Genomic DNA, 20,576 nt, shown 5'->3' with positions numbered 1-20,576 from the left:
AATGGGCACAAACTTGAAGGGCAAAGCAGTGGAAGGGTAAGTCTGCAGACTCGCGTGGGGCTCAAGTCAGAATCACGTGGAAGATCATTGCCACATGTTTTTGTTTTTTTAAATAGCAACCACCACCAAGTGGAGCCCGCCGGGTTTAGTAGATATTAAACCTCTAAGGAGTGGCACATCCGAGACTGAAATTCCCATCTTTTGATTCCCAGCTCAAGGTCTCTGAAATGCCAGCACCAGCTGTGAAATTGTTCTTCTGCATTTTCATGGAGACCTTTTCTTCTATACTGCCATACTCTTTTTTTTGGAACAGTTATACCTGATCTTCCTATTTTTGTGTGTGTTCCACCGAAACTTTTTCACTCTAAATACTTCCCTCTTTCCAACTGAGCATTTACATCTGTAACAAGGACAAAAACATCTAACATCTCTCTCACCCTTGGTTTGTGTTTTGTTTTGTTTGTTTTTGAGACAGGGTCTTGCTCTGTCACCCAGGCTGGAGTGCAGTGGCGTGATCACTGTTCACTGCAGCCTCGAGCTCCTGAGCTGGAGCAATTTTCCCACCTCAACCTCTGAGTAGCTGAGACTATAGGTGTGTGCCACCACGCCTGGCTAATATGTGTATTTTTTGTAGAGATGAGTTTTTGCCATGTTGCCCAGGCTGGTATTGAACTCCTGGCTTAAGTGATCCTCCTGCCTAGGCTTCCCAAAGTGCTGGAAGGAATTACAGGTATGAGCCACCGTGCCTGGCCTCACCATTGTTAAAATTATGGAAATCGTGTTTGCAAAGCAGGTTGGCCTGTTTGGAAAAGGGTGTCATAATTTCTCAGGTAGCTCCAAAAAGAGAAAGCTACGAAAATTACCTTAATACATTCATTACAGTCTCAGTATAAGATTATAGCTTCCTCTCCCAAAGCGTAACCACAACCTGACGCAGGATGAGTTGGTTTGAAAATACCGCATACAATATCCTCTTGAGTAGAATCATAATTTAGAACTCTAAAAATGACCGGAAACAAAACTGTCCAAGTTTGTTTAACGTAATGTGTTTCAACTTATTTGACTAGAAAACCCTTCATTCGTGCAACACTTATAAATATCCCATGGCAAATCTAGTTTTCTATGAATAATGAACGAAACATTTATAATTTAAAACTAAAATTGTCTTCTAAGCAGAGATCTACGTATCAATAAAATGAAGAAATAAAATTTCCATACTGTTTTCTTCCCAATACAAGGATTAGAAGGAAAGGGAAAAGAGTAACAGCGAGAATCAATAGCCCATGTCTGGCCAGGCTCCATGGCTCAATCACACCTGTAATCCCAGCAATTTCAGAAGCTGAGGCGGGAGGATCACTGGCCTTTAGTGATCCTTGAATGAAACTCCATCTCTAAAAAATTAAAAATATTAGCTTAGAGAATCATTTGGGCCCAGGAGTTTGAGGCTGTATTGAACTATGACTATGCTACTGCATTCCAGCCTGGGCAACAGGCTGCTTAAACCTGGAGGGGCAGAGCTTGCAGTGAGCCGAGATCGCGCCACTGCACTCCAGCCTGGGCAAAGGAGCCAGACTCCGTGGCAAAAAAAGAAAAAAAAAAAAAAAAAGAGATTCTATTCACAATAGCAACAAAACCCTGAGAATATATCTAGCAAAGTATACACAGGCCTTTCATGAAGAGTATTGCCATAGCCTGAATGTGTCTCCCAAAATTCATGTATTAAAACTTAATTCCCAAGATGATAGTACTAAGAAGTGGGGCCTTTAAGAAGTGATTAAGACATAAGGGTGAGCCCTCATGCATGAGATTAGTGCCTTCCTTATAAAAGGGCTTGTGGGTGGTGGTAAATCTGTCCCTTCTGCCTCATGAGAACATAGCATTTGCCTGCTCCAGAGGAAGCAGCATTCAACGTACCATCTTGGAAGCAGAGACCAGGCCCTCACTAGACACTGTGTCTGCTGGAGTCTTGATCTTGTTCTTCCCAACCTCCAGAACTGAGAAAATAAACTTCTGCTCTGTGTAAATTACCCAGTCTCAGGTGTTTTGTTATAGCACTATGAAGGGACTAAGACAAATATAAAAATTACCCAGGGACTTAAAGGAAGAACTGACTAAACTGAAATATATGCCATATATATTATGAATCGTAGGACTCAATGCTATAAACATACTACTTCTCAACAAATTAATCTATAAATTCAAGAAATTCCTACACAAATCCCAATAGAATTTTTTTGTGGAACTCGAGAGGCTGATCCTAAAATTCATACAGTCACTTGAGGGGCCAAGAATAGTGTAACAGGGCTGGCGGGGCTGGTGGCTCACACCTGTAGTCCCAGTACTTTGGGAAGTCAAGACTGGAGGATGGTTTGAACCCAGGAGTTCAAGACCAGCCTAGGCAACATAGCAAGATGTTGTCTCAAAATATTAAAAATAAATAAATAAATAAATAAAAAGAAGGTTAAGTATGCACATTTTGTTGTGAATTTCAATTTTATAGTGATTTTTTTTTTTTTTTTTGAGACAGGGTCTTGCTCTGTCACCCAGGCTGGAGTGCAGTGGTGCCATCTTGGTTCACTGCAACCTCTGCGTGGGCTCAAGCAATCCTCCCGCCTCACTCTCTGGAGTAGCTGGGACCACAGTTATGTGCCACCACACCTGACTAATTTTTATATATTTTTTTTGTAGAGACGGGGTTTTTCCATGTTGCCCAGGTTGTTCTCAAACTCATCCACCTGCCTTGGCCTCCGCAAGTGAGATCACAGACATGGGCCACTGTGCCCGGTCTAGTGCGCTTTTTTTTTTTTTTTTTTAACCAAACAAACGATGAAGTCTCAGGAGTAAAAGTTGATACACAAGTAAATTTTATTGGTAATGTTTTTGTGTGGTCTTTAAGCAGAGGGAAAATTAGTCTGCATTATGGTGTATCCAGACTAAATAACTGATATTAAAATGAAATTATCCTTAGGATTTACAATCTTAGAGAAAACTTTTTCATTTTTTTTGAGTTACAAATTATCTTCACTTACATTTGAGAACAGTGAGTCACAGAGGGATTAAGTATCTTACTCAAGATCTTGCAAGTGTTTGGTTTGAACCCAATCTTTTCACTCTGCAGAACTCAGAGTCACTCTTATTTGGAAACTTTTTAACTGATGTGGATCCTCTAATATGGGCTTCCTATTATTCATTCCGTATTAGTCAGAAGTTTTGCAAGCAGGCAGAATTCATTTTGCCAATTACGGGATTTTCCCTCAGTTGCAGTCAAGGTTCATAAAACTATAACTATTTATCTTTAATTATAAATTTTGTTTTTGAGACAAAGTCTTGCTCTGTTGCTCAGACTGGGATCCAGTGGCACAGTAACAGCCCATTGCAGCTTTGAACTCCTGGGCTCAAGGGATCCTCCGCCTCAGCCTCCCAAGTATCTGGGACTACAAGTGCATGCCATCATCCCTGGCTAATTTTGTTAAAAAAAAAAAAATTGTAGAGATAGGGTCTTGCTTCGTTGCCCAGGCTGGTCTCAAACTCCTGGCCTCAAGCAAGCCTTCAGCCTTGGTCTCCCAAAGTGCTGAGATTACAGGTGTCAGCCATTGCACCTGGCCAAAACTGTAACTATATATACACACACACATAACTACATATATATGTGTGTGTGTATGTATGTGTGTGTGTATATATATTTTTATATATAAATAGATATATCTGAAAGGCATCAAAAGAAAAAAGCTGTAACTTTTAGTCTTGATCTTGATAGTGACTTGATTAGGCTATCTGTTTAACATCAAAGATGCAAATTAATGCTTTCTTTGGGTGAGCATATTAAAAATGCAGAAAATATTGGAGTAGTTTTTTATGTTAAATAAATTGTATTCTGTGTATTTAAGGTATACAACATGATTTTGTGGGATGCATATAGATGGTTAAAAAAATTACTACAGTGAAGCAAATTAACGTATCCTTCAACTCAGATAGTTACCCGTTTTCTTTTTGTTTGGTGGCAAGAGGAGCTTAAAATCTCATTTAGCGTGAATCCCAATACAGCACAATTTTATTACCTATATTTCTTGCGTTGTACATTATATTTCTAGGCTTGTTCATCCTACATATCTGCTACTGTGTAACCTCTGAGCTATGTCCACCCATTTTCTCTCTTGCCCCCCAAGTAATTTCCTAAAGTGTCTCATATAAAAAGGCAGTAGCTTTCAGCTTAAACTTTTTCTCTGTATATATTTAAGTCAATTTCTTTGAGGTATGTTTTTCTCTCCAGAATAGTTAGATGTAGGCATACCACTTTAATGTTGACACTAGTTCACCTAGAACTTATCTTCTGCAAATCTGTCTCTATGTCCATCTCTGTCTCCATCTTTGTCTCTATCTTTATCTCTGTCTATCTATCTATCCATCCATCCATCCATCCATCTATCTATCTATCCATCTATCTGTCTATCTAACTAAAGCAAATTCATGCCCTTCTCCTATTTATGGAATCGAGACCATAAACAGAGGTGAGGGAAAGAATTTGGCAGGAATTGCGATGTGTATTACCTGTGGCATAAGGAAACTTTACAGAACTAGGGTCAAAAGTATACTTTCTAGTTCTTTCCCATGGCTTTTCACTTTGATGTAGTCCTTATCAGGCAACTGAGGTTTTATATAAGTCCCCTGATTCTTAGAACATGAAGGTGTAGTATTCAAGTTTGGTCCCTTGAAAGCACAATTTTTGTTAAAAAAAATTAAGAAAATTGTATGATTTCCTCAGCAAATACATATTGATCATCTGTTATACAGCCATGAGAAGTGGTTCTGTTGAACACGTTTATTTTATCAGATCCCAATTCTAAACCAGGCATAGAATGGAAACCATGAAGGTAGGATGAAATAACTTCTGAATGTTTGAAAATAGTGTACTTAAAAATAAATATCAGGTGTTTTTGTTTTGTTTTTTGTTTTTTGTTTTTGAGACAGGGTCTCACTCTGTCACCCAGGCTGGAGTGTGGTGGTGCCATCTCACCTCATTGCAGCCTTGACCTCCCAGGCTCGGGTGATCTCCCACCTCAGCCTCCCAAGTAGCTGGGACTACAGGCACATGCCACCATGCCCAGCTAATTTTTTGTATTTTTTGTAGAGACAGGGTTTCACCATGTTGCCCAGGCTGGTCTAGAACTCCTGGGCTTAAGCGATCTTCCCACCTCAGCCTCCCAAAGTGCCAGGATTACAGGCATGAGCCACCATGCCTGGCTGAAAATACCAGGTTTTTAAGTATCAGCACTGCCTCTTCAATCTTTTCTATTACTATGTTGTGCTCAGTGGTATTTTTTATTGAATTAGAGCAGTGCTGTTCAATGGAACCTTCTTTGAGGATGGAAATCTTTTATGTCTCTGCTGTGTGGGTATGGTATTAGCTGGGTATGGGGCACCTGCCTATAGTCCCAGCTACTCAAGAGGCTGAGGTGGGAGGATCACTTGAGCCCAGGAGGCCGAGTCTGCAGGTTCGTACCACTGCAATTCAGCCTGTGTGACAGAATGAGACTCAGTCTCAGAATAAAATGAAATAAGGAAATAAAAATGTAATTGTTGAAATAAGAAACTAGTGGATGGATTAGACACGAGAAGAAAGAATTAATTGTTTAGACGATTCTCTCCAAAAAGTAAGTCAGCATGTCACACAGAGAGACATGAGGATAGATGATAGGGCAGAAGTTGGTGGGCTTGGAGGGGAGAGGAAGATCAGAATGAGGTCCAAAATGTGTCTTAGTGAAATCCCAGGAGGAGATATTAAAATTATATTAGAAAGTGAAAGAAATAGAAGTTTTATTTATTTATTTATTTATTTATTTTGAGAAGGAGTCTCGCTCTGTAGCCCAGGCTCGAGTGCAGTGGCACGATCTGAGCTCACTGCAAGCTCCACCTCCTGGGTTCACGCCATTCTCCTGCCTCAGCTTCCCAAGTAGCTGGGACTACAGGCACCCACCACCACGCCTGGCTAATTTTTTGTATTTTTAGTAGAGATGTGGTTTCACCTTTTTAGTCAGGATGGTCTCAATCTCCTGACCTCATGATCCACCAGCCTCAGGCTCCTAAAGTGCTGGAATTATACGCATAAGCCACTGCACCCGGCCCAAAAGCTTTGTGTTTTTACAAATATTACACGTTTCTTGTTTAAGAAAAAAAGTCTTCACAATAACGTAGGAGAATAAGAGAAACATTTTTCCAAAAAAGAGAAGTCATTGTGATTATTTTATCTTATTGGAATGTTGGATAATATAGTCTGCTTCAGTAATCATCAAGCATGCTATGGATTTTCCATTTTCATAGGATCTGTATCTCGGTTAAGGTAATACTGGTAATTTTTGTACTCTATGAAAAATATAGGCCAAAATCATAGACCTTGCATAGAAGCTGGATCATGAAGACAGCTCTGGAGGAACACACAGGTACACACACACAGACACACATATATATAAAGTATACACATATATATTTTTTAAAAGCTTTTAAAGCAAAAGCCGGCCCTGCCCCTCTCCCAGAGTTGGCGGCCTCTCCCCTCTCTTAGGGTGGGTGGGGACAGTGGTTGCATGGGCAGCTTTCCTTGTGAGCCAAAGGTCCCTCTGGACACATGATGCCTGGCCACGCCCCCTTTCCCTTTCATCTTTCTCATTAACCAATGGGCTTGGAGCATTAAGGCCACGCCCCTATTCTGCCTTCTACTGCATCCCTGGTTACGCCTCCTCTGGCTCAGTCGCACAGCTACCTGGTAGGTGACTGGAGGTGTTGATCAGTGCTTGGTGGGATTTTGCTGATGTGGCCCCAAGCCCGCCTCCCTCCCCACCCTGCGATGGCAGAAGAAACTCGACAAAGTAAATTGGCAGCAGCCAAGAGAAAGGTAAAAACACACCAGGTCACGGACCCCCAACCCAGCCATAGATCCTCTCCAACGACAAGACTGCTGCCAGAGTCCATACCAATCCCGAGGTTCACCGGACTGGGACCCCCACACCGGTGCCTCTGGGCTACCCCCACCAAAGTTTTGCCAGTCAGCCCCACCCCTTCAGCAAGCAGCCCAGTCTCTGCCCTCACCAATCACCCCAGGGTGACTTTGGGCAGGTGAATCCTGGGGCTCCCCGCTCCTTTACTGGGCCCTCATCTCCTGCCACCCCAAGCTTGACCTCCCAGGGCTTTTTGGGCTCACATCTCCAAGGACCTGGGTCCCACAGCCCCAGACCCCACCCTCACCAGTCATCCCTGGGTGACTTTAGGCTGGTGAATCCTGGGGCTCCCTGCTGCTGACTCTTCCCTTCCCTCCTGCTGCCTCAAGGTGGACCTCCCTAGGCTGTGTGCACTGGCGTCTCCAAGGACCTGGGTCCCAGCTCTGTTTTTCCCTCCCCTATCATGGAGCGGTGACTCGGACATCATGCTGATGTGGTCCCTCCCCCTCACCAGGAAGAGTGGAATGTAGTGATGTCACGGTCCATCCAGTAACTGTCATTACTGCAAGACTGGCCTTTGATCTTATGACCCAGTCCCCTAAGCATTGCCACCCCATTTCTGGTTCCTCTTGTCACAGCACAAATTTCCAGCTGGAAGGGGAATGGAGATTGGGACCTAGGAGCAAGAGGTTTCAGGCTGCCTCACTCCCTTAACATAAACATTGACAGCGGGAAAAGCCTACACTTCCCCTGTGAGCTCAAAACATTGACAGTACCTCTGGATGGCAACTGGAGAATGGGTTTGACTTGGTTTGGTTTTCTCCCAGGCTTCTACTTTCCAGAGAGATTTTAACAAATTTTTTGTGAGTTCTCCACCTCACATTCTAATTCTCCATGGTTCTGGGACCAGACTGCCCTTCAGTCAGTGGTCTGTGAAGTGAGATTTGCTCATCTTCTGTGGAATAGATCTTGGGAAACTGAACTTGACAGCTTGAATCTTCCTCATATTATGTAAACCTGGGGTACTTTGAGTGCCACAGGATACATATGGGACATCTTTCTGAAGCATCAGTTTCCATTGATTCTCTTGAGATCAAGAGAAAAAACATTAATGTACTTAGGGATGACAGTCACATAGGTTTCTAAGAGTATACCAGACCTCTCTCTGAAATGAGGCTTGGGTTGTCCTCTTTCTGATAAATTCCCAGATTTAACAGAAAGGCTGCCTTCTGCCATGAGGATACATTGATATAAGAGTTTGAGAGGTACTGGTGCACTTCTTCACACTAACAGACGTGTGAGGATGTATGACTCTAAACCACATGGCATACAGTTCCTGCCAACTTAATGTTTACTTTTCTAGCTCTGCCTCTGGTTTTGGTCCCTGGCAGCTGATGATTCTTGGTAATACCCCAGAGTTTGGAGTCAGAAGACTGAGTTTCAAAGTTCGTCTGTCGCCTTTTTCTTTTCTTCTTTTTTTTTCTAGCCATGATATCAATCTCTTTGAGTCACTAAATGATTGTGACAACACCTTGTACAGTTGTTGGTATCATTAAATCAGATGGCGTATAAGAGTATTTTATAAAAACTGTAAAGGAGGATGTGGCTGCAGGGGCTGATAGTTCTCATGAGTATTACTGCTCTTGTTTCTGACAGTTAAAAGAATATTGGCAGAGAAACAGCCCTGGTGTTCCAGCAGGAGCCAAGAGGAACAGGAAAACAAATGGCAGCATCCATGAGACAGCCACTTCTGGTGGTTGCCACTCACCTGGAGATGTGAGTCTTGGCTGACTAGGTTCCTGGGGACAGGGGACCCAAGGGGCACTAGAGGGTAATTGTTAAGATTGTGGATGGACTGTTGGGTACCTGTGAAGAATTCTGGGTTTGAATCCTGCCTCTTTGTCTGCTAGGGATATGAATTAGGGCAAGTTGCTTGACCTCATCGGGCCTCTCTTTTCACATCTGTATAATAGAGGTGGTATTGTTTCACTTCCATTTGTGAAGTTTAAATGAGATCTGTTATTGTTGTTTTTATGTTAATCCCTAGTACATGGCCTGCTGTAAACACCCAGAACACCCAGGATATGGTCATTGCTGTTCGATTTTCCTCATCCCCAGTCTCAAGGGGAAGCCAGGACAATGAGAACAGTCACTTGGCACAGGAGTCACTGAAAGGGCCGCAGGGTGCTGTGGTGGGGAGATAAGAACCATGAGAGAAGTTGGCACAAAGGAGTTATGGGACAAAGGGTCCAAGATAGGCAGAAAAGAAAATTGTGCCAGTTGATGGGGAAGAAAAGAAGTCAGAGGGCTTAGATACTGAGTGGGACAGAACATCTTCATGTGCACTCTCATCTCTTGTAGTCAGCAACAGGTATCCACGGGGAGAGCCCTACATCATCTGCTACCCTGAAGGATCTGGAGGTAAGAGGCTCTGGGCAGAGGTGCAGTGACCCTGCAGGGCAGCCCTCCAACCTCCTCCTCCAGGTGGGACGGGGTGCCCCTCTGCCAGCTGAGACAGTCCACACACACCCCAGCCCTAATGATTGCTCTCTCTACCTCTCCCCCCACTCCTCCTCCACCTCCTCCTCTCTGCATGCGCCTCAGAGCCCGTGCCAAGAACTAGCAGTAGTCCCAGACTCGAGGTCTGTAAAAGTCAGTCAACTGAAGAACACCATCAAATCTTTGGTAAGAGTCCACTGGGGTCCCCTGATTCCACGCTGCCAATCCTGGGCTCTAGTTTCTCCTTGGGGCCCTGAAGAAAGGGGACAGGGGCCCCTGGTGCCAAGGGCGAATAGGGAGCTGGGGCACCCAGGCCTCACCTGGAGGGACCCCGGAGCATGCAGCATGGCTCTTTTTTTGCTGCCCTGTTTGCTGACTCTCCCCTCTCCAGACGCCCCTGCTCGAGTCCTTGCTACACACGCCCTGGGATTGTTGCCTCTTGGGGAAGTGCTAGCCTGACTGGTTGTCAGGGGCCCTGTATTTCTGCCATGACTCAGTCCCTAATTTGCTCTTTGATTCTGGACAAGCCACCTCTCCTTTTTGGGCTCGTGTTTCCAGAGGAAGTAGTGAGTATCATAGGTCTCTGTTAGCTCTGAGAGTCTGAGATTTAAAGGCCTCCTAGAATGGAAACCTCAGGGCCAAAGGCTCCTGTCTGTCCTTTTCCGCCCTAAATCTGCTGTGAAGAACCGTACTTGGCCCGTACGTGCTCAGTAAATGTTTATTGAATGAATGCACTTTTCTAAATCACAAGCTGGCAGAAGGGGGGGCCTTTCTCAAACTCCATCTCTAGAGGTTTATGTTACTGTCCTGTCAAGAGATTCCAGATTCAGACCTTGAGTTCTGTGGCTGTGGGCAAAAGCCAACAAAGACCCAAATCCTCTGTCCTTGGGAGCTTGAGGAGAGTTTACCAGTTCGAGTTCCCACTGGGTCTGAGAACTTTGCCTTTAAAATCCATTCCTGGTCCCTGCCTACCACTTCCTGCTCTGGGGAATAGAGTTGAGGGGGCCACCCTCCATCACCTTAATGTGACTCTCCCCACAGAAACAACAGAAGAAACAAGTGGTACATCAGCTGGAAGAAGTAACATGATTTCTTTGTTTGCTCGCGACATGACTGCTCGGTTTGGGGGACACTCAGATGTAGAGGCCCCGAGTCTCGTCTCACCCACTCCCAGCCTGGGGAAGAAGGCTAACCCCCCAGAGTCCACCCCATCCCCCACAGGGTCTCTGATAACCCGGTCCCATGGGTGGGCCTGTCCCGGGGCAGGGGCAGTGGTGGCATTCTGGGGACATGTCTCTTGCAGTACCATCTCTGCCTCTGCCTGGTTAGATCTCTGTCTTCCTCTTCCTACAGGAAAAGAAAGCAAACAACGAGAAACAGAAAGCCGAAAGGGAGCTAGAGGTGAGTGGACGGTGTGCAGTTTTCTCCTGTCCTCCGGAGAATGTTTCTTTCCTTCTCTTTCAGCACTTGCTTGGCTTTTCTCCCAAAGGTTCAAATCCAGAGATTGAACATACAGAAAGGGAAACTAAATACGGACCTGTACCACACGAAACGTTCTCTCAGATACTTTGAAGGTGGGAATCTGGGTACCCTGTCATCCTTCAACCTGGGACTTTGACAGGTCTTCAGGGGGAGTCCTTTGGGCCCCATCTCAACTCTCTCATTACAGAAGAGTCCAAGGATCTGGCCGTCCGTCTGCAACATTCATTGCAGCGTAAAGGAGAGTTAGAGCGGGCTCTCTCTGCTGTCACCGCCACACAGAAGAAGAAGGCGGAGAGGGTGAGTCCAACCACCTGCCCCGTCCCCTGGGAGCCTGGCTTCGCAGACAGAGGAGTGAGCCTAAAGGTCCCTTCTGCAGGATGGAGTGTCCTGCCCAGAAGGCAGCATGGCCATTTCTCACTGCTTTTTTGTATGGTTGTTAGCGGCAGCTTGGGACTGAGTCAGCTGCTGTGGGTGAGTTGGGGGGCACTCTGGGGAGAGAACACAGGACGTAGAGCTTGGAGGCCAAGTGCCTGCCATGCCTTTACCTGGCTGTGGTCTTGGCCAAGTCCTAAGTGGGGTATTGGCTACTTGTACTGTGAAGGTACAGAAGAGTACCTTTAGTATGTTACCATTTCTGTAGAGAGAGGAAACGTGTGTGTGTGTGTACATATTATGATAATATACATAAAATATGTTTGCAAGTGTTCATAAAAACTCAGGAGAGAGCAACAGGGTGGCTGGGAGATACTTCCCTTCTGTACCTTCTGAGTTTGGGACTATGTGAATGTATTATCCTTTCAAAAAGTGAACAAAAGATTAATTTTCCCCTTCCTAGCTGTGCCCCCACCCCCAGCAAGAAAAATGGGCTTAGAGAATTGGATAGATCTGGGTGTTTAAATCCCAGCTCTGCCTAAGTGATCTTAGGCAAGCACTTAACCTCAAATACTCCATGTTTTTTCATCTACACAATAGAGGTCATCATAGTAACTGTCTCCCATGGTGGTTGCGAGGATTAAATGGGATTGCTAGCATGGTATCTGGTGAAGCACTCCATAAAAGTTCAAACAGTGGTAATAATAACAGTAATAACAATAGCAATATTATCTGATCTCTCTGGGCCTCTGTTAGCCAGCTATAAATTCGATCTCTTTCCCTGTCCCTTCCAACTTTACTGAGTTCTTTAAAAACCAAACCACGGGCTTGGAAATGCCTTGATCTTTACTGACCGAGTTGTATATTGGGCCTAGCCCTGGCCCTTTTAAGGGGCACTGTGTGGAATGGCCCGGCCTCCCCAGATTGAAACTTCTCACTCTTCAGCAGTTCTCCAGCCGCAGTAAAGCACGTATGGAGTGGAAGTTAGAGCAGTCCATGCGGGAGCAGGCACTGCTGAAAGCGCAGCTGACACAGGTGAGGTGTTCAGAGGGAGGGATGTGGAAGGAAGATGACCCCAGGTAACCAGGAGCAGGTGAGGACCAGTGACAGCCCTTCCTAATTTCTGTGCCCATTCTTGCAGTTGAAGGAGTCACTTAAAGAAGTCCAGCTAGAGAGGGATGAATATGCTGAACATCTAAAAGGAGAGAGGGCCCGGTGGCAGCAGAGGATGAGAAAAATGTCGCAGGAGGTGAGATCTGACCCTTCAGCCCCCCCACATTAGATAGGTCACTGGATCTTTCTGGGCACCTGTAAAATGGGAATAGTAGAGCCAGAGGTGGTCCTGGGACTGGGCTTTGTGGAGGTGGGGGCAGAGAGGGAGATGGTAGCATGTCCAGCCTCCAGCCCCTCTCTCCAGGGCCCTTTCCCCCTGTGCTTTGGGCAGGTTTGCTCGTTGAAGAAGGAGAAGAAGCATGATAAATATCGGGTAGAGACGCTGGAGAGGAGCTTGTCCAAACTCAAACACCAGATGGGTAAGATGGGGCTGGCGTGACCTGACAGCAGGACTGGCATCAGAGGGCTGTGAGGGTGGCTTGGAGTGCCCCAGCGAGGTGGGTGGATGGGAAGGGCTTTGAGGCAGAGGGAAAGAGGTCTGTTCCAGGAGACGGCAAGTCTTGTCATCTCAATGAGCCTCAGTGTCCCCATCAGCAAAGAGGGCCCGTTGTCAGCCACCCGCAGTGCTCTTTCTCTGAAAGTGGTTTGGAAGACTGGCTACCATCTGGGTGCGAGGAATCATTAGCAGTGAGGCCAAGTTTGAGGAGCCTGAGAGGAGCTGTGCGCCAAGAGGAGGGTTTTTCTTTTCCGAGAATCCAGAGGCCCTTATTATCTGCTTCCTTTCTCAGCTGAACCCTTGCCCCCGGAGCCCCCAGCAGTGCCCTCTGAGGTGGAGCTGCAGCACCTGAGGAAGGAACTAGAGAGAGTGGCAGGAGCGCTCCAGGCCCAGGTGGAGTACAATCAGCGCATAAGTCTCCTGAATGAGGGGCAAAAGGAGAGACTTCGGGAGCAGGAGGAGAGGCTTCAGGAGCAGCAGGAGAGGCTTCGGGAGCAGGAGGAGAGGCTTCAGCAGCTGGCCGAGCCACAGAACAGCTTCAAGGAGCTGGTGCGTTGCCCCAGCTGGGGAGCCTGCCCTCCTCCCTAGCCCTCCAGGCCTTTGTTTCCCCACCTATAAAATGTGGCAGTGTAGCCCTCAAGTGAAATGTTACTCCTAAAGGCACCTGTGAGCCAGAGCCCTGCTCTGGTGGCTGTGGGAGACAGGGGATGATTTTTCTAACCTGCCTCCACCCTTCCCGGTGCCATGGGAGGCAGTCACCAAGTTCTGGGGTCTCCAGCTGCAGTGGGTGGCTGCTGATTGCTTCTCTCTGTCCAGAACAATGAGAACAAGAGCGTACTACAGTTGGAGCAGCAAGTAAAGGAGCTGCAGGAGAAGCTAGGCAAGGTGAAGGAGACGGTAACCTCCACCCCATCCAAGAAGGTCTGGGAGGTGGGCACCAGCCTCTGGGGAGGGGAGGTGCCAGGCCAGAGGCAGCTCCAGCCCGGGGGCAGGTGACCCCAGCACCCTCCAGGGCAGTCCTGTGGCTGTTTCTTGCTTCCTGCCCTCTGATTTTAGAGGTGGGTAGCCCTGGGCTCCTCCCAGGTCTGGACATCATCATTCCAGCTAGAGACATGGAGCACCGCCAATCACAGGGGAAGAGACAGAGTGGTATAACAGTCTTCTTATGCCAGACGCGGTGGCTTACGCCTATAGTGCCAACACTTTGGGAGGCTGAGGCAGGAGAATCACTTGAGGTTTGGAGTTTGAGATCAGCCTGGCCAACATGGTAAAACCTCATCTCTACTAAAATTACAAAAACAAAAAACAAAAAAAGGAAGAAAAATTAGTGGGGCATGGTGGTGGCGCATGCCTGTAATCCCACCTACTCAGGAGGCTGAGGCACGAGAATTGCTTGAGCCCAGGAGGTGGAGGTTGCAGTGAGCTGAGATTGCACCACTGCACTCCGGCCTGGGCCACAGAGTGACACTCTGTCTCAAAACAAAACAAAAAGACTCCTTAGATTAAAACTGGATTCCAGCCTCAGTTCCACTGGTCACCATTCAAGTACTTCACATCTCTAAGTCTCTGTTTCTTTAACTTCAAAAGGAAGTTAGCATTTTCCTTACAGAGGTGCTGAGGATTAAATGAGATAATACATGGGAAGCATTAGGCCTGTAGCACATTTAGCAGATGGTGGTTGGCTCCCACTACTTTTCTACCATTCTGTGGCCTACAGTTGAAATGGTGGGAAGAGGACATGAGATTTGAGGCTGGGGAAGGAGGCATGGGGTTCTAGGAAAGGGAGGCAGTCACTTAGGCCTGGAGTAAGGGGCCAGGGGCCTGGGCAGGCGACAGAGCCCCACAGTGCCCTCGCTACCCTATTAATGGGCCCAGAATCTGGAAACCAGCCACCACGTGCCCTCACACCCAGGGTCTTCCTGCAGGTGGAGCTGAAGAGCCAAGAGGCTCAGAGTCTGCAGCAGCAGCCAGACCATTACCTGGGTCACCTGCAGCAGTACGTGGCCACCTATCAGCAGCAGGTGGCCGCCTATCAGCAGCTGACCTGTGAGAAGGAGGCGCTGTACAGGCAGTGACTGCAGCAGACCCAGCTAATGAACCAGCTGCAGCAGCAGGAAGCTTGGGGCAAAGCGGTGGCCGAGATGGCCTGCCAAAAGTTGCAGGAGGCCCAGGGGAGGGAGCTGCCGAGGATGGGGCCGTGAGGGGGACGACCTGACAAACTCTGTGCCTTCTCACTCTTTCCTGGCCCCTTAGGAGCGCCTGGAAGCTGCCAGCCAGCAGAAACAGCAGCTAACGGCCCAGCTGAGCCTCATGGCTCTCCCTGGGGAAGGTACGGGAGACCGCTTAGAGGAAGAGGAGAGAGCCCCAGGAGGAAGGGGGGACTGCTAGCAGCATAGGATTGAGGAGTTGGAAGAGACCTTTAGAACAGCTGGTCATTATACTAACCGGGTGCCTGCACTAAGTTCAGCATCAATATGGTGACCTCCTGGGAGCGGGGGGCCACCAAGTTGCCTAAGGATGGCTGAACTGGCCGAGGTCAGAAAGGGAGCAGGTCAGAACTCCCACACCGACCAGTAGTGGGAATGTGCCTGGGCAGTATAGCAAGATCTTGGTTCTTCAAAGTAAAAATAAATAACAGCAGCTCATTCCTCTCTGGGGAGGGCCTGGCTCAGGGTTACACAATGAGGGTGGAGGCAGAGGTGGGCCCACAATACTTCCCTTGTTGAGTTGTCTGAAGACCCCTCTGGCCACCCCCAACAGGACACGGAGGAGAACATCTGGACAGTGAGGGGGAGGAGGCACCTCGGCCCATGCCGAGTGTCCCAGAGGACCTGGAGAGCAGGGAGGCCATGGTGAGCCTGACTCCCCCTGCACCCATTTTGCCACCTTTCTCTGTGGTCCCTCCAAGACCCCTTTATGCTCTTCGTTTCCCTGCCTTCTGATTTCTCTGGACCCTCACCCCTTCCGAGAGCCAGTGGTCAGACACCATTTCACCTGTGGCCAACAGGTGCACTCTCTGAGGCCCCAAGGGAAGGGGCTGCGCTCCACCTCTCTGCCCCATTTCTTCTGTGTATGCCCCTAGAAGAATGCTCACATCTTGCCCTCAGGTGGCATTTTTCAAGTCCGCTGGAGCTAGTGCCCAGGAGAAGCAGGCACAGTTACAAGAGCAGGTGAAAGAGCAGAGGGTGTGCTGCCAGCGCCTGGCTCACCCGGTGGCCTCGGCCCAGAAGGAGCCAGAGGCAGCGGTCCCAGCCCCAGGGCCTGGGGGCGAGTCTGTGAGTGGGGAGACCCACCGGGCCCTGCAGGAAGTCATGGAGAAGCTGGCCCATGCCGGAACTCACCTCCGCCTTCTCCATGACTTGAAAATGCCACCTGAGGGCAGGTCGCTGCCGAGATGTGACCCCATTATTTTGGCTCCAGAGCGGCTTTATGGACCACCTGGAGGAGAAGGCAGACCTGAGTGAGCTGGTGGAGAAAGAAGAACTTGGATTCTTCCAGTACTACAGAGAGAGATGCCATCAGTGAGTGGGAGGCCAGGGCGTGGCAGGGGGAGCTGCAGGGCTGTTGGAGGGGCCCCAGCGTCTGAGCCCTGTCCTCCCGCAGGAAAGTTTATCACCCTATAACAAAGCCAGGGGGCAGTGCCAAAGATGCAGCACCGGGAGGAGGACACCATCAGGCTGGCCCTGGACAGGGAGGAGATGAAGGTAGAGTGTGCAACATCTCTGCGGGGGTGGGGGTGGCTGTGACGGTGAGCGCTGGCAGCAGCGTGACAGCTGAGCACCCCTCCCTCCAGGTGAAGCTGCTGGAGCTGCAGGAGATGGTGTTGCAGCTGGTGGCGACTACAAGGGACACAGCAAATTCTTGGTGACTGCCCAGAACCCTGCTCATGAGCCCAGTCCAGGAGCCCCAGCCCCCCAGGAGCTTGGGGCTGCCCACAAGCATGGTGGTGAGTAGAGCCCTCAGGCGGGGTGGGCAGGCAGGAGCAGGGGGGCTCTCACTGAGCTCAGATCCCCGCCTCCCTCTCTCCAAAGATCTTTGTGAGGTGAGCCTCACTGACAGCGTGGAGCCTGTGCAAGGAGAGGCCAGGGAGGGTTCTCCCCACGACAACCCTACTGCACAGCCGATCGTGCAGGACCACCAGGAGCACCCAGGCTTGGGCAGCAACTGCTGTGTGCCATTCTTTTGCTGGGCTTGGCTGCCAAGAAGAAGGAGATAAACATGACCATCGTCAAAGACCTGCTCAAGAAATTTTTAAAAAAGAAACAAAGTTATGGGGTTAATCTCCTACACAATTCATTTACTTCGTTTGAATGTTATAGCCACTTATGATTATTTGTGTTTCTAATTTATAGTTTAAGTTTATTTGTAAATAGTTAAAAGAGAGTGGGTCTCTGTGGCTTTCACTGATGTTCACTCTGGCATACTTTCGCAATTTTCTTTTTCAATTTCATGATTGTAGGTCATTAGCATGCATATTGAGTTTGCCCTTACGTGGTGGGAGTTCAAACACACAAAGACCCACTATTTGCACAAAACTATTCTTGCTGGTTTGGAATAGGCTGCCATGTGTTTTTAATGTTATTGAAGCATGTATATTCATTACAGAATTCAGATAAAATTTGCCTATGTTCTGCTATTGTTTGATCTAATCTTAATCACAGTGAGCTCTTCATTAGCACAATATGTGGTTTGCCCCAAGTGTGCACTATTTAATACTTTGTAATATGCCACCAAGAGTACTGACATTTAGAGTTGTTTAAAGGCCGAGAACTGGAAACAGCCTTTCCCTCATTTTCTGTGTATTGGTGATGGGAGTAATAACATTTTGGGGGAGCTTTTTAAATTTCACAGAAGAGGAAAGTTGCCTGCTCTGGCAGGTATGTGCAAGATAGAGTGTGTTTCATTTGTTCTGTTGCCAAGAATTAGTGCTGTACTATTGTAGTTCCTTTAGGATTTGTATGTGCTCTGGGCTCATGAAGATATTGCATCATGAGCTGCAGCAGTTGTACTCTTTTTTGATGACCTAAAAAGGGCTTATTTCTGAGGAATGAAAGGTTCCCATCATTGACTATGGATGTGGAAAACCTTTCCTAGCTTAGAGCATTTGTATCTATATTTTAAAGTCAGAGTTCATGTTACCTGTTTTAATCACATGACTGCATGTCCCAGTACACAAAAGGGCACTGGTTGGCATTCTTCTTAATGTATTTAGTAAAGATCAGAAGAAATCCTTTAAGAGTTTAAATGTCCCTGGAACACGCATACAGGCTCTAGTCAAGAATGAATTAGAGTGAAGGAAAGCTGTGTGACACCTGGCATTCCTCTGTTCATGGAGCTTCTTTGAGGCTTGAAGATTGATTTTACCATCTAGACCACTCTGCCTATTCTTCAACCACCTTGGTTACTTTGACATAGGAATTGACTTCTTTTCCTTGAATGGAAAACACTTTGAAATAATAATAAACATTGTTATAAACTAATATATGTGAGAGTGCTTAGTTGAAACAAAAAGGAGTTTTAGTAGACAGTATTATACTATCTTTGAAAATCAAGGAGAAGTTTATGCAACTTAAAATGTGTACAAACTGCAGTGCAATCTACTGTTGGTGAATGTCAGTGTATTATCAGGAAACATGTCTATACAATCACAGAGTTATATTTCCTCACAAACTTCTTTGTGAAGAGTGAAATGTGTTTCTGTACCTCTGGGTTTCACTTACGGGCATATTTTGTGCAGTATTTATGTGATTGTGCCTATGCATGATGAATGAATGAATTTCAGTTGTACATTGCCTAAATCATAACTTGATGATGCTTGGGAAAGACTCAACAGTTAAAACTTCATGAAGTTCTAATGTCTGTGTTCCAAAACACATCACATTATTAGGATGTAGGGAGATATGTATGTGTGCTCCCTGGGGTGGGGATTTCTAGTTACTAGACCATCTCCATTTTTAGCATTTGGCATCCTCATGATACTTTTATAAATACGACATTAACAGGAGAGCAGCAGTACGATTTTGCCGATGGAATAACAGATTTGCCGGCAATCACTGAAAGAGTGCAAATATCGGGTCCTTGTGACTTCAACGGACTCTTCCAAATTGTATGAATGTATCAATGTATTAGATAAACCCAGTTTCAGAATGATAAAGAAAAAATGTTAGACCAAATAATGCGGCTAGTTAACAGTGGTACGATTTCTAGCCCGTGGCTTTAAAATGCACTTAAAGTCCTGTCCTTGCCTTTTATTTTCTGAACTTGATGTTTTTGCATTCTTTGAGTTCAGTTTAAAGACAACTACGAGCATCTGTAACCAATCTGACAATAATGTGTTCATCAGGTGCCTATGGATTAAATCACATACTGGCATATTTAAGCTGAATGTCAATCTGGAAAATAAATTGACTGTATTAACAGAAATACCACTCTTTGTGTAGATATTTGTCATATATTTAAGAAAAAGCTAAAAAGAATGGAAATCGCATGACTATAACTTAAGTCTTTCTTCAAAGTGCATGCAGTCTTTTGCGATACCTCATTCAGCCAAGTATTGGTATTCTTCCTCATTCGGTATAAGGCAGCTTTCAATTTGCTTAGAAGGCAACATTGGAAGGTTAGAGTTCATCAGAAACAGAATTCTAAAATGTGAGTTCAATTCAATAAATTTGAATTTCTGTAGGAAGAATCAAATCACCGATTTAAAGAGTGCAATATATAATAATCATTTTTAAAGTATTGGATTAAATCTGATAGGTTTTCCAGAAATGAACAAAAATCAGCTCTAAAACCAAAGCTGATTTTTAGAAAATTTGAAAATGTAAATCAGCCCTATCCATACTATAGTTTCTCTAAAACTTTATCTGAAAGAGTCATTTTAAAATAACTATTAAACAATGTAACTGCTATCTTAATGTTCTGAAATAAGTTAAAACATTTTAAAATATGAATACTGTAAAGGAAATAAATGGTGGGAAGGAAAAGTAGAGAAAGAAATGCCAATTCCAGTCCAAAGCTTTATTTGCCAAGTTTTCTTAGAATGAATTTTACCAATTTATGAATTCTTGTAAGCGGAATGTAAAACGGAAATACTGAAAGACTTTTGCCTAAAGTGGCATTATTGACTGCTGGTGTGATGCTACTGTAATGTAATAAATTATTAAGTTGTTGCAAAGTGCTGTTTTTGCCTTAAAATTTTATTCTGTGTGTCTTGAAAAATATAGTATTAAAGGTATTGATACTGTGCAAATGCTGAGCATGCTTGGCATGAGATAATGTTTCATTTTTACAAAATTGTAATATAACTATGCAAGAGTTTATTAAAAGAACACAAAATAAAAAAGTTATGGGATTAACAAAAGTTATGGGGTGAAAAAGTTATGGGATAAAAAATGTAAAAAAGTTGTGGCAAAAAAATCTTGTGACCAAAAAGTAGAAAAAAGTTTTATGAAAAGTTACCAAAAATAGTTATGAAAAAGAAGTTATGGGATTTAAAAAAAAAGGCATGGGATAAAAATAAAAATTAAAATTAAAAGCAGGCCCCTGTCAGCAAAGCCTGGAGAAGTGGGGCTGGGGTCTCTCCACCACCACACTGTCCCTATCTCCCCTTCCCAGTCACCCCTTTACAATTAGGGTAGCAAGACAAGACCACTGTCTAACGAGGAAAGACAAACAGACCCTTTGCC

At 45.9% G+C, this 20,576-nt stretch overlaps 2 pseudogenes across 1 annotated transcript; both read left to right on the top strand.

The window, feature by feature from the left end:
- Positions 1-6,714: 6,714 nt before the first annotated feature.
- Positions 6,715-20,068, top strand: GOLGA8EP (golgin A8 family member E, pseudogene; annotated as a pseudogene). Its single transcript, NR_033350.1, has 18 exons — positions 6,715-6,886; positions 8,586-8,705; positions 9,291-9,350; positions 9,534-9,614; positions 10,470-10,829; positions 10,918-11,002; positions 11,098-11,207; positions 12,228-12,317; positions 12,424-12,531; positions 12,727-12,814; positions 13,184-13,440; positions 13,708-13,776; positions 15,145-15,220; positions 15,652-15,743; positions 16,312-16,412; positions 16,495-16,595; positions 16,685-16,837; positions 16,923-20,068. The product of NR_033350.1 is annotated as a golgin A8 family member E, pseudogene (transcript).
- RN7SL545P (RNA, 7SL, cytoplasmic 545, pseudogene) lies at positions 15,252-15,541 on the top strand (annotated as a pseudogene).
- Positions 20,069-20,576: the final 508 nt, after the last annotated feature.

Source organism: Homo sapiens, chromosome 15, assembly GCF_000001405.40.
Source record: "Homo sapiens chromosome 15, GRCh38.p14 Primary Assembly".
Classification (NCBI taxonomy): Eukaryota; Metazoa; Chordata; class Mammalia; order Primates; family Hominidae; genus Homo; species Homo sapiens.
The sequence above is the reverse complement of the archived record's forward strand: the minus strand, read 5'-3'. Positions and strand labels throughout refer to the sequence as shown.